Below are 13,926 nucleotides of genomic sequence, written 5' to 3'. Positions count from 1 at the left end.
GCAAATGTCCTTTCCTGGGGAGGACAAGTTGGGTTTAATGCAGGCTCTATTACGATGGGACTCACACATCACACTGGTCTCGGCCTTTGTCTTTTCTTAATCCTGGCATGTGGAGAACTAAGGTTCCAGAGAGATTACAATGTGTGTAAAGGTCACACACCAAGTTTTTGGCATACCTACATTTAGAGAAGACATTCAGACCTCTGGGCTCAGATCCTTGGAATCCCTGTAGCTTTCAAGCCAGCCCTTTGCTTAGGTCACCTGTCAGCTCATTCATCCAGGCCTAAGGTAGAACACAGCAGTGCTTCTCAAACCTGAATGTGCAGTTGAATCACCTGGGGCTCTTGTTAAACTGCAGATTCTGATTCAGTAGGGCTGGGGTGGAGCTTAGGATTCTCCTTTTCTAACAAGCTTCCAGGTGATATGAATGCTGCTGGTCTATGGACTGCACTTTGAGAAGCAAGGGAATGATGGCAGGCCCCCGTGTGAAAGGTAGGGCTCAAAACCGGTAGGAAGGAGTTTATGAAGCCACAGGAGGAAGGAGGTTATGAGGCCACAGGGTTATGAGGCCACAGGAGGAAGGAGGTTATGAGACCACATGTTATGAATCCACAGGGGAAGGAGGTTATGAGAAGGAGGTTATGAGGCCACAGGGCAGGTTTGTGGCTATAGCTGAAAGGGCCTTAGCATTGCTGACTCCTGCCCAGCTGGGGGTGGGAGAGAAGAGAGCTCCTGGGACAAGGTGGCACACACATATGTATATGCCCAAAGGATATGAAAATGGCCTGGCTTTAAAAATCTCTTTTTATATCTACCGGTGACGTGGGGAGGGGGATCAGCAGTCCAGAAAAAGTCCCTTGTCATTGCCTGAGCCCTGGTCACACTGGGGGAAGCCATGCTGACCTTAGAATTGCCTTACAAATATTCATTTTAAAAACATTTTTTAATCAACCTGGAAAAATCCAACCTAGTCTTCACTTTCTCTCTGTGTCTTTATTACCTCATTTCCTAGTCATCCTTGCCATACTTCGGCATTAGGTCTGCTTGCCTATCATGATCATTTATGGTCATGATAGTGATTTCCATTTTTGCTATGTTCTATATTTCTCCAAGCTTTTACATATTTGTTGTCTCAATTTAACATTTGTGTCTACCTTGGACAAATATATTCAAGAGCTCCTGCATAAATGGGATTCCATGAAAACCAAAGAAAATGTCAGAGGAGACAGAGTTTATAAATTTTATATTAGACACACAGTACTTTCTTTTAGGTTCTGGGCGCCTGCTCAAATATGAGTTTTTCAGGCTGCTTAAGGGTTATTGAACTTACTCATTCACTTTAGACTTGCTTTACCCTTCTCCCTTCCACATGTGCTGTCATTGAAAACAAAACGTCCAGAGGCTTACACCTGTAATCCCAGGACTTTGGGAGGCTGAGGCGGGTGGGTCACCTGAGGTCAGGAGTTCGAGACCAGCCTTGCCAACGTAGTGAAACCCCATTTCTACTAAAAATACAAAAAATTGGCCGGGCATGGTGGCGGGCATCTGTAATCCCAGCTACTCGGGAGGCTGAGGCAGAGAATCTCTTGAACCTGGGAGGCGGAGATTGCAGTGAGCCGAGATTGTGCCATTGCACTCCAGCCTGGGCGACAGTGTGAGACTCCATCTCAAAAAAAAAAAAAAAAAAAAGAGAAAACCTGACTGTTGACCTCAAAAAGACAAAAACAAAAAACAAAACAAAGCAAAAAACCCCCACAACCCGGAGAATTGAAGTGGCTCAAGGGAGACTTAAAAGTGATAGTGTAACTTACAAGGGAGCATTTAAGTTTTTAAATAATTAATTCATTGTCTAAAATTTTTGTACTGCTGTAGAATAAATATAATGGCAGTTTTAAGGCTAAATGGTAATAATGAGTCATTGAAATGCCTGTTCCTCTTTCTTCTAGCTTCTTCTCTTGACAGCCTTGCAGCTAACGTAAAGGTAATTTTAGAAGTAGAATTTGTAAAATGATTTACTTCCAGATATCTTATGTCAATTATTGTGCTTTTTCCAATCAGTGGTGGATATTTCTAGTTAGTCTGCTTAGGTGGAATTGCTGTAGTTTAGTGTTTGTATGAAGATGTGCCCAGACTCCATGTTATACTTTGCTTAGGGGTTAGTTGGTTTGTGCCCCTCATATAAGTAGGATGAATCACCAAGGAGGGTGTATGTAGACCCAATACCTACTTTATTGGTAGTGATTTTCATTGCTTTTTCTCTAATCAAATAATTTTATACATAGAGGTGGTAAATCACTTGTTCTTGAAGTTTGATTGGTTTGTCAAAGTGAAGGCTCAAACTTCTATGTAACAACATGAGAATAGATTTATGCAAAGAAAATGGAATATACTATGCTTCTTATGCCATAGCGCTTAAATATTTTGTTAAAGTTACATTTTTCCCAGACCAATAATCCCTAGTCCTCAGAAATCAAAGTTCAGAGCATGAGTTTATTTTGGTTTTTTAATATATCCCAAACATACAGACTTTTGGTTATTTTTATCAGTCTGAACTCCTGAGCATTTTGTCACTAGTCTTCTCTTCTCCAGATCCTCTTCTATTTGCAGGAGATCCCTGGGGCAAATATTCTGTCATCTTAGCCCGAGTTATCTTCCTTGTCCAACCCCCACCCCCAGCTCTAAATTAAGCAAACAGAAGCAAAATTACAACTAAATAATGCATATTGTCACTCAGGTTATCAAAGAGCCAGATGAACGGATTGTTTTAAGGAGTGACTCATCATCATGTTTAGATTCAAGTCAGTTTGGAAAGTCTTCATCCAGTAAACAAGGGGATGCTGATTTCCACGGGAAAGCTTCATTTGCCACCTACCAGCATTCCACCTCTCCTGGCCCCTTGGATCAGCCCCTTCTCAGAGAAAGGTCAGTGGCAAGCACCCATCTGTTTGCCTGACGAGTGCATTGTGGCCTGGCAGGGGTAAAGCTGGGTCATTTCACCAGCTTCCTTTCTTAGGAATATTCAGCTGGTGACACCTTGATATGAAAAAATGATTATTTCTTTTAAAATCTACCCAAAAGTCAGAGGCATATCTCAGAATATTTGCTGTAAATGGGATAGACAACTAACTTTGACATAGGTACTATTTATCTACCCATTTTTATTTGTCATAAATTTAAAAACTAAACCTTTTCATTTTACCAGTATAAAAATGTTCACCACAGAAAGTTTGAAAATTACAGAAAAAAAAGTGGAAAAAAATTACCTATAGTCCTACCACTCAAAGACAAATGTTAACATATGGGCATATATTCTTTTTCTAGACATGATTTCTTTGCTTACATTATTTTCACAAACAATGAAAATACATTTGCATATGTCTGGAGAGCAGGCCAGAGAGCAAAAGCAGAAACCTTTATTTGCCAAACAGCACTCTCTAGTAGGGTAAGTAACCACTGGTTTGCTTGGGTCTGCCTGATTTTAGACCTGAAAGTCCTGCATTCTGGGAAACCCTTGAATCTTAGGCAAACCAGGACAGTTGGTTACTTTAACTTCGGGGAAGTGGCACTGAAAATAATATTTATAAGATCATTGTTCTGAATGAAGGATAAGCCAATCTGCTTTTCTCTGCATTATTAGTGACGAGAATAAGAAGCAAACTCCACGTACCAAAATAACGCAATTGCTCTCAAAGGGACTCAGAGTAAATATATCCCAGAACCACAGTGGCCCTGAAATTTTTACAGGAATTATATTAACTTTGAGGTAGACTAAGAAAGTGGCAATCCCTTCTTAGTGTTTTTCAGAAATGACATAATAACTCTATATTCAAATGTTAAATCATGGATTTGAGGAAGCCAGATCAAATATTTTAATAAAATCCATTAACGTATGACGAGCTTTTGATTAGTTACTTTATTAGAAGAAAATAATACAACATAGATTTTTAAAAAACTGGCTCCGGCTGGGCACGGTGGCTCATGCCTATAATCCCAGCAGTTTGGGAGGCCAAGGTGGGTGGATCACCTGAGGTCTGGAGTTTGAGACCAGCCTGACCAACATGGAGAAACCCTGTCTCTACTAAAAATACAAAATTAGCCGGGCATAGTGGCGCATGCCTGTAATCCCAGCTACTCGGGAGGCTGAGGCAGGAGAATTGCTTGAACCCGGGAGGCGGAGGTTGGGGTGAGCTGAGATCGTGCCATTGCATTCCAGCCTGGGCAACAAGAGCGCAATTCCGTTTAAAACAAACAAACAAACAAAAAACTGGCTCTGGCACACAGAGACAAGTGGTCAGAGACACACTTACACCTCTCTATGCCTGGCCTCTGTCCCCTCCTGTCTTATGCTTTTGCCACCAGCCTGGAATTCAGCAGGCTGGCAAAGCACAGGAGGTCATCCTGGATTTAAAGACTTGTAGAGGATTGATTTTAAATGAAGAACGGAAAGAACTTTCAATTAACAGTGGTCAGGAGACATGGGCTCTAGCGCTCATGTGTCTCTAAGTGCTGGGTGATTTCACACAGCTACTCCACCTATTTTTTTAAATTAATTATTATTATTTTTTTTCGAGATGGGGTCTTGCTTTGTCACCCAGGCTGGAGTGCAGTGGCACAATCACAGCTTACTGCAGCCTTGACCTCCCCAACCCAAGCAATCCTCCTGCCTCAGCCTCCTGAGTAACTGGGACTGCAGGTGCGCACCGGCATGCCCGGCTAATTTTCATATTTTTATTTTTGTAAAGATGGGGTCTCACTGTGTTGCCCAGGCTCTTCTCAAACTCCTGGGCTCAAGCAATTGTCTTGGCCTCCCAAAGTGCTGGGTACAGGCATGAGCCACCGTGCCTGGCTTCAACCTTTTAAACCTCAGTTTCCTCATCTTTAAAATGGGTTTGATGATCAAAGATCCATCTGCATACAGCCACAAAGTGCTTCTCAGCCACCAGAACTGGGGAAAACCCGTGGTTTTTGTCTCTGTGCCTGGTATCTATAACACCTCCCAAACTCCTTAAAAGCAGTACAGCAAGCTTTTCTGAGAGACTGTATTGAGCATGCTGTTATTGGGCAACTGTTGGGGGCAATGGACACCATCATGACATGTCTCTGCTTTCCACTGGCTCACATACTAGACAGGAAGGCAGACATACCCCCTTGTCACTGAATATGAGATAGATTGTGGTAGGTACCTAACAGAAGTACAATCCAAATGCAGGGGAGAGACAGAGTGAGAGGAAATCAGTTACATCAGGAGAGAGACCTGAGAAGTCCTCTTTTCTCTTTAAATATGTGTTAGATGGTTTATGCATTCATTCAGCCAGCCTTTCCTGAGTGTCTTTATGCAGCAGGCCAGCAATTCTCAACTCTGGCCAACGGAAGAATTGCCTCATGTTTACTGAGTCAAAATCAACTGGGATTGGAATTGAGTATGTGGGCGGGGAGCACGTTAAATCTGTGGTTAAGACGGAAAGCAGGAATGATACTCAATCTGCTAGGCCAGCAATGGGAACACTAACATTTAAGACATTTCTCCTGATCTCTGAAAACTTGCAACCTAGCAGAGGATATAAAAAAAATAATAAAAAAGAAGTATGCAAAGAGCTTTCTACAAAGCAGCACTTTGTGAATAGTGTGGAACAAAAGTTACTGGAGTATAAAGAAGAAGGGTGGTACTTCTGGAATGTTTCATGGAGGAGGTGATGCTTTCATGTGGCCTTGAGGAGAGAAGATTGGTTTATGATGGGGTTCATAGAGGTGAGTGATGGCAGGTGGGAGGCAGGGGCACTGTCAGCTTCCAGCAGTTAGAGGAGTTTGGGAGAAAGTCAGTGCCAGGACTCAAAGGTTTGAGGGGGACCTTTGTTGGCTGACCTAAGGAGCTTGGGCTTTGCTTGGAAGGAGTGAGGAGCTCTGTGACATTAGTCACAGGAGTTGGCACAAGTGACTTTAGAAAGATGAGTCTTAGCTGCAGACCAGAGTTTTATTGGCCATCTCTGATGAGGCAGCAAATTCTTTGTGCCCAAAGTCTCTCTAAACTGGTAACTTGGGACCTAGTTGGACTATGAGTTTGTAAATAAGGCCATGATTATCAGCGGCAAATAATAACACAGCCACAGAAAGGCCATCCAGTTTGCCCATGGCTGTCCTGGTTTCAGTACCAAAAGTTTGCATCCTGGGAAACCCCTGAGTCCCAGGTAAACCAAGACAGCTGGTCACCTTCACACTAGAGAAGTGGCTCTGAAGATAATATTTTAAAAACAGTTCTTTTGAATGAGGGATGTGCCCTTCATATCCTTGCAGAACACATTGCCCGTTGGCTTTAGAGCGATCACTAGGGCAGATTCCTGGGACACTGGGGGTTGTCAGCACTGTGTCTCCACTCACTCAGTGTTCTTTTCATACCAGCAATATCAGGACCACTCTTTCTCTGTGTCCAGTTCACAAGGGTGCATGAGAATCCCTGTTGCTTTTCTGCTAACTTAATACTGAAGTCAGTAAGGATCAAGGTCATAAGGATGAGTTGGGAGACAAATTTTGGAATGAGAGTCAACCCAAGGTTTTAATGGACAAGGTAGAAAACACATTATAAGAGTGAACAATGGGAGTACTAAAGGAGGGAGAAACACTGCCAAGCCTGTTCCCTGTATCCACCATCTGAATAGCGTCATGCCCCTTCAGCACATCCTCTCTCTCCACATGACTCGAGGAGAAGGTAGATCCCATGGAGAAGGCTGTGGTAAAGGCACAGCGCTGCTCCCATCTGTTGACTCATCATTCTCTGAGATCTTCAAATGTAAAATAAATTGCATGTAACAATAATGGTAACAAATGAAAGAGTCGCTTTGGTATTGGTTACTCTAGACCTATGAAAAAGAATTTACAGTATCTAGCTGGTGGCTGTTTTTAAATGCTAGCTTCATTTATAGCTTCAACATATTTCTATTCCTTCCTCCTAAACATTCTTAGAGAAGGGCCAAGCGTGGTGGCTCACACCTGGAATCCCTGCACTTTGGGAAGCGAGGTGGGTGGATCACTTGAGGTCAGGAATTCAAGACCAGCCTGGCCAACAAGGCAAAACCCCGTCTCTACGAAAAATACAAAAATTCGCTGGGCTTGGTGGCTTATACCTGTAGTCTCAGCTACTTGGGAGGTTGAGGCAGGAGAATTGCTTGAACATAGGAGGCAGAGGTTGCAGTGAGCGGAGGTAGCGCCACTGCACTCCAGCATGGGCAACAGAATGAGACTCTGGGTCAAAAAAAAAAAGTTCTTAGAGAAGAATAGAAATAATGTTTGTAGTCTTAAACATGGGCAGTGCTTTAGGTGGTGCTTCCATTTACTATGAGTTGTTTTCTTGGGTTGGCAATGGATTTGTGTAGATCCATTCATACTGTTGGTCTTATCTCCCTGGAAAAACCAGTGGGACATGCTTGTCACAGAGAGAGCTGGAGTGGAGGCCTGGATGTGGGCCGGAACCAGCCAAGCAGAGGGGCAACTGCACAGGGAGGTCATTCATATGGTAGCCATAGTAACAACTGGATTTCCAGATGTTCCTGTCATTTCCAGTGTTTACCATACATTAATTAAAGAGAATCATTTTCTTTCTTTCTTTCTTTCTTTTTTTTTTTTGAGATAGAATCTTGCTATGTTACCCAGGCTGGAGTACAGTGGCCCCATCTCAGCTCACTACAACCTCCACCTCCCAGGTTCAAGCAATTTTCATGCCTCAGCCTCCTGGTATCTGGGACTACAGATGTACCACCACCACACCTGGCTAATTTTTTGTATTTTAGTAGAGATGGGGTTTCACTACTTTAGCCAGGCTGGTCTGGAACTCTTGGCCTCAAGAGATCCGCCCGCCTCAGCCTTCCAAAGTGCTGGGATTATAGGTGTGAGCCACTGCGCCTGGCCCCAAGTGGCTATAATTCTTTGGGTGTTTTTAGAAAACTGTATCTGTGCCTTTCATTATCAAATTGCTATGTACACTTTCAGCTTAGTTATACCTCAGACTTTAGGATTTGGTAACCATCCCCCTCCTGAATATTAATGGATGGATGAATGAATGAATGAATGAACGAGAGAATGAATTCAATCACTCAAGAAATATTTATTAGCTACTTACTGTGCTATTCAGTTCCTACTCTGCCCTGGGATGAGCTATTAAACAAAGAGTCTCAGCTCAATTTCACTCTAGGAGTAAAGACCGCCATTAACCAAATAATGACAAAATGTCCAGTGGTGCAAATGGTATTAATGAGGTATAGATAAATGAAACTGCAAGTCCGTATAACAGAGCAGCTGACCTCCTCTACAGGAGAGGGCTCAGAAAGGACTTTGCTGAGAACTCAACAATTGAACTGAACTCTGAAGGGTGGGTAGGAGTTAATAAGAGTAGTGAGCCCCTGGGGTTGGGAGGTAGAAGAGAGAACAGTGTTGCCAAATGCCTATGGAAGGTAGAAAATGCTCTATGTTTGGGGAACTGAAAGAGACTGTCAAACCTATGGTTCAGTTTGGAGTCTGGGTGGCCTAAAGTAAATGAGATATAAGATAAAGTCCTGGTGGTAGGAAACAACCAGGATTGGAGGCTGGGTGTAGTGGCTCACACCTGTAATCCCAGCACTTTGGGAGGCTGAGGCAGGAGGATCACTGAGTACAAAAGTTTGAGACCAGCCTGGACAGCATGGGGAGACCCTGTCTCTACAAAATATTTGAAAGTGAGCTCTGCATGGTGGTGCATACCTGTAGTCCCAGCTCTTTGGGAGATTGAGGTGGAAGGATCCCTTGAGCCCAGGAGTTCGAGACCAGCCTGGGTAGCAAGACCCTATCTCTTAAGGAAAAAAAAAAATAGCCAGGCATGGCAACATGTACCTAGTTGGTCCTCTCTACCTGGGAGGCTGAAGTTGGAGGATTGCTTGAGTCCAAGAGTTCAAGGTTGCAGTGAGCTATGATCATGCAGTTGTACGTTAGCCTGGGTGATAATCTCTCCGTGAAACAACAACTACTGGGATTAAATTTTATATTAAAATTTTTTGGATTAAAAATTTTTTTTTCTTTTATTATTATACTTTAAGTTTTAGGGTACATGTGCACATTGTGCAGGTTAGTTACATATGTATACATGTGCCACGCTGGTGCGCTGCACCCACTAACTCGTCATCTAGCATTAGGTGTATCTCCCACTGCTATCCCTCCCCCCTCCCCCCACCCCACAACAGTCCCCAGAGTGTGATGTTCCCCTTCCTGTGTCCATGTGATCTCATTGTTCAATTCCCACCTATGAGTGAGAATATGCGGTGTTTGGTTTTTTGTTCTTGCGATAGTTTACTGAGAATGGTGATTTCCAATTTCATCCGTGTCCCTACAAAGGACATGAACTCATCATTTTTTATGGCTGCATAGTATTCCGTGGTATATATGTGCCACATTTTCTTAATCCAGTCTATCATTCTTGGACATTTGGGTTGGTTCCGAGTCTTTGCTATTGTGAGTAGTGCCGCAATAAACATAGGTGTGCATGTGTCTTTATAGCAGCATGATTTATAGTCCTTTGGGTATATACCCAGTAATGGGATGGCTGGGTCAAATGGTATTTCTAGTTCTAGATCCCTGAGGAATCGCCACACTGACTTCCACAATGGTTGAACTAGTTTACAGTCCCACCAACAGTGTAAAAGTGTTCCTATTTCTCCACATCCTCTCTAGCACCTGTTGTTTCCTGACTTTTTAATGATTGCCATTCTAACTGGTGTGAGATGGTATCTCAATGTGGTTTTGATTTGCATTTCTCTGATGGCCAGTGATGATGAGCATTTTTTCATGTGTTTTTTGGCTGCATAAATGTCTTCTTTTGAGAAGTGTCTGTTCATGTCCTTTGCCCACTTTTTGATGGGGTTGTTTGTTTTTTTCTTGTAAATTTGTTTGAGTTCATTGTAGATTCTGGATATTAGCCCTTTGTCAGATGAGTAGGTTGCAAAAATTTTCTCCCATTTTGTAGGTTGCCTGTTCACTCTGATGGTAGTTTCTTTTGCTGTGCAGAAGCTGTTTAGTTGAATTAGATCCCATTTGTCAATTTTGGCTTTTGTTGCCATTGCTTTTGGTGTTTTAGACATGAAGTCCTTGCCCATGCCTATGTCCTGAATGGTATTGCCTAGGTTTTCTTCTAGGGTTTTTATGGTTTTAGGTCTAACATTTAATTCTTTAATCCATCTGGAATTGATTTTTGTATAAGGTGTAAGGAAGGGATCCAGTTTCAGCTTTCTACATATGGCTAGCCAGTTTTCCCAGCACCATTTATTAAATAGGGAATCCTTTCCCCATTGCTTGTTTTTCTCAGGTTTGTCAAAGATCAGATAGTTGTAGATATGCGGCATTATTTCTGAGGGCTCTGTTCTGTTCCATTGATCTATATCTCTGTTTTGGTACCAGTACCATGCTGTTTTGGTTACTGTAGCCTTGTAGTATAGTTTGAAGTCAGGTAGTGTGATGCCTCCAGCTTTGTTCTTTTGGCTTAGGATTGACTTGGCGATGCGGGCTGTTTTTTGGTTCCATATGAACTTTAAAGTAGTTTTTTCCAATTCTGTGAAGAAAGTCATTGGTAGCTTGATGGGGATGGCATTGAATCTGTAAATTACCTTGGGCAGTATGGCCATTTTCACGATATTGAGTCTTCCTACCCATGAGCATGGAATGTTCTTCCATTTGTTTGTATCCTCTTTTATTTCATTGAGCAGTGGTTTATACTTCTCCTTGAAGAGGTCCTTCACATCCCTTGTAAGTTGGATTCCTAGGTATTTTATTCTCTTTGAAGCAATTGTGAATGGGAGTTCACTCATGATTTGGCTCTCTGTTTGTCTGTTGTTGGTGTATAAGAATACTTGTGATTTTTGTACATTGATTTTGTATCCTGAGACTTTGCTGAAGTTGCTTATCAGCTTAAGGAGATTTTGGGCTGAGACAATGGGGTTTTCTGCACACACAATCATGTCGTCTGCAAACAGGGACAATTTGACTTCTTCTTTTCCCAATTGAATACCCTTTATTTCCTTCTCCTGCCTAATTGCCCTGGCCAGAACTTCCAACACTATGTTGAATAGGAGTGGTGAGAGAGGGCATCCCTGTCTTGTGCCAGTTTTCAAAGGGAATGCTTCCAGTTTTTGCCCATTCAGTATGATATTGGCTTTGGGTTTGTCACAGATAGCTCTTATTATTTTGAAATACGTCCCATCAATACCTAATTTATTGAGAGTTTTTAGCATGAAGTGTTGTTGAATTTTGTCAAAGGCCTTTTCTGCATCTATTGAGATAATCATGTGGTTTTTGTCTTTGGTTCTGTTTATATGCTGGATTACATTTATTGATTTGCGTATATTGAACTAGCCTTGCATCCCAGGGATGAAGCCCACTTGATCATGGTGGTTAAGCTTTTTGATGTGCTGCTGGATTCGTTTTGCCAGTATTTTTTGGGGAATTTTGCATCAATGTTCATCAAGGATATTGGTCTAAAATTCTCTTTTTTGGTTGTGTCTCTGCCAGGCTTTGGTATCAGAATGATGCTGGCCTCATAAAATGAGTTAGGGAGGATTCCCTCTTTTTCTATTGATTGGAATAGTTTCAGAAGGAATGGTACCAGTTCCTCCTTGTACCTCTGGTAGAATTCGGCTGTGAATCCATCTGGTCGTGGACTCTTTTTGGTTGGTAAGCTATTGATTATTGCCACAATTTCAGATCCTGTTATTGGTCTATTCAGAGATTCAACTTCTTCCTGGTTTAGTCTTGGGAGAGCGTATGTGTCGAGGAATTTATCCATTTCTTCTAGATTTTGTAGTTTATTTGCGTAGAGGTGTTTGTAGTATTCTCTGATGGTAGTTTGTATTTCTGTGGGATCGGTGGTGATATCCCCTTTATCATTTTATATTGCGTCTATTTGATTCTTCTCTCTTTTTTTCTTTATTAGTCTTGCTAGTGGTCTATCTATTTTGTTGATCCTTTCAAAAAACCAGATCCTGGATTCATTAATTTTTTGAAGGGTTTTTTGTGTCTCTATTTCCTTCAGTTCTGCTCTGATTTTAGTTATTTCTTGCCTTCTGCTAGCTTTTGGATGTGTTTGCTCTTGCTTTTCTAGTTCTTTTAATTGTGATGTTAGAGTGTCAATTTTGGATCTTTCCTGCTTTCTCTTGTGGGCATTTAGTGCTATAAATTTCCCTCTACACACTGCTTTGAATGTATCCCAGAGATTCTGGTATGTTGTGTCTTTGTTCTCGTTGGTTTCAAAGAACATCTTTATTTCTGCCTTCATTTCGTTATGTACCCAGTAGTCATTCAGGAGCAGGTTGTTCAGTTTCCATGTAGTTGAGTGGTTTTGAGTGAGATTCTTAATCCTGAGTTCTAGTTTGATTGCACTGTGGTCTGAGAGATAGTTTGTTATAATTTCTGTTCTTTTACATTTGCTGAGGAGAGCTTTACTTCCAAGTATGTGGTCAATTTTGGAATAGGTGTGGTGTGGTGCTGAAAAAAATGTATATTCTGTTGATTTGGGGTGGAGAGTTCTGTAGATGTCTATTAGGTCCGCTTGGTGCAGAGCTGAGTTCAATTCCTGGGTATCCTTGTTGACTTTCTGTCTTGTTGATCTGTCTAATGTTGACAGTGGGGTGTTAAAGTCTCCCATTATTAATGTGTGGGAGTCTAAGTCTCTTTGTAGGTCACTCAGGACTTGCTTTATGAATCTGGGTGCTCCTGTATTGGGTGCATATATATTTAGGATAGTTAGCTCTTCTTGTTGAATTGATCCCTTTACCATTATGTAATGGCCTTCTTTGTCTCTTTTGATCTTTATTGGTTTAAAGTCTGTTTTATCCGAGACTAGGATTGCAACCCCTGCCTTTTTTTGTTTTCCATTTGCTTGATAGATCTTCCTCCATCCTTTTATTTTGAGCCTATGTGTGTCTCTGCACGTGAGATGGGTTTCCTGAATACAGCACACTGATGGGTCTTGACTCTTTATCCAATTTGCCAGTCTGTGTCTTTTAATTGGAGCATTTAGTCCATTTACATTTAAAATTAATATTGTTATGTGTGAATTTGATCCTGTCATGATGATGTTAGCTGGTTATTTTGCTCGTTAGTTGATGCAGTTTCTTCCTAGTCTCGACGGTCTTTACATTTTGGCATGATTTTGCAGCGGCTGGTACCGGTTGTTCCTTTCCATGTTTAGCGCTTCCTTCAGGAGCTCTTTTAGGGCAGGCCTGGTGGTGACAAAATCTCTGAGCATTTGCTTGTCTGTAAAGTATTTTATTTCTCCTTCACTTATGAAGCTTAGTTTGGCTGGATATGACATTCTGGGTTGAAAATTCTTTTCTTTAAGAATGTGGAATATTGGCCCCCACTCTCTTCTGGCTTGTAGGGTTTCTGCCAAGAGATCCGCTGTTAGTCTGATGGGCTTCCCTTTGAGGGTAACCCGACCTTTCTCTCTGGCTGCCCTTAACATTTTTTCCTTCATTTCAACTTTGGTGAATCTGACAATTATGTGTGTTGGAGTTGCTCTTCTCGAGGAGTATCTTTGTGGCATTCTCTGTATTTCCTGAATCTGAATGTTGGCCTGCCTTGCTAGATTGGGGAAGTTCTCCTGGATAATATCCTGCAGAGTGTTTTCCAACTTGGTTCCATTCTCCCCGTCACTTTCAGGTATACCAATCAGACGTAGATTTGGTCTTTTCACATAGTCCCATATTTCTTGGAGGCTTTGCTCATTTATTTTTATTCTTTTTTCTCTAAACTTCCCTTCTCGCTTCATTTCATTCATTTCATCTTCCATCGCTGATACCCTTTCTTCCAGTTGATTGCATCGGCTCCTGAGGCTTCTGCATTCTTCACGTAGTTCTTGAGCCTTGGTTTTCAGCTCCATCAGCTCCTTTAAGCACTTCTCTGTATTGATTATTCTAG

General features: G+C 41.9%; 1 protein-coding gene across 18 annotated transcripts in view; it reads left to right on the top strand.

Annotated features, from left to right (window-relative positions):
• SPATA6L (spermatogenesis associated 6 like) overlaps positions 1–13,926 on the top strand; it is a 77,660-nt gene that overhangs the window by 45,636 nt on the left and 18,098 nt on the right. For 13 of the 18 annotated variants that reach the window (NR_148445.2, NM_001039395.4, NM_001353484.2 and 10 more), the window contains 2 exons: positions 1,947–1,981; positions 2,735–2,922. The exons of 4 other annotated variants lie outside the window; for them this stretch is intronic. Coding sequence is in view for 12 of the 14 variants with exons in the window: in NM_001039395.4 (NP_001034484.3) it covers positions 1,947–1,981; positions 2,735–2,922 (223 nt within the window). In the remaining 2 variants the exon portion in view is untranslated. Of the gene's footprint in view, positions 1–1,946; positions 1,982–2,734; positions 2,923–3,321; positions 3,443–13,926 lie in introns of all 18 variants that reach the window. One more of the 18 variants, NR_148444.2, reaches the window with a different exon arrangement.

Source organism: Homo sapiens, chromosome 9 (assembly GCF_000001405.40).
Source record: "Homo sapiens chromosome 9, GRCh38.p14 Primary Assembly".
Lineage (NCBI taxonomy): Eukaryota > Metazoa > Chordata > Mammalia > Primates > Hominidae > Homo > Homo sapiens.
The sequence above is the reverse complement of the archived record's forward strand: the minus strand, read 5'-3'. Positions and strand labels throughout refer to the sequence as shown.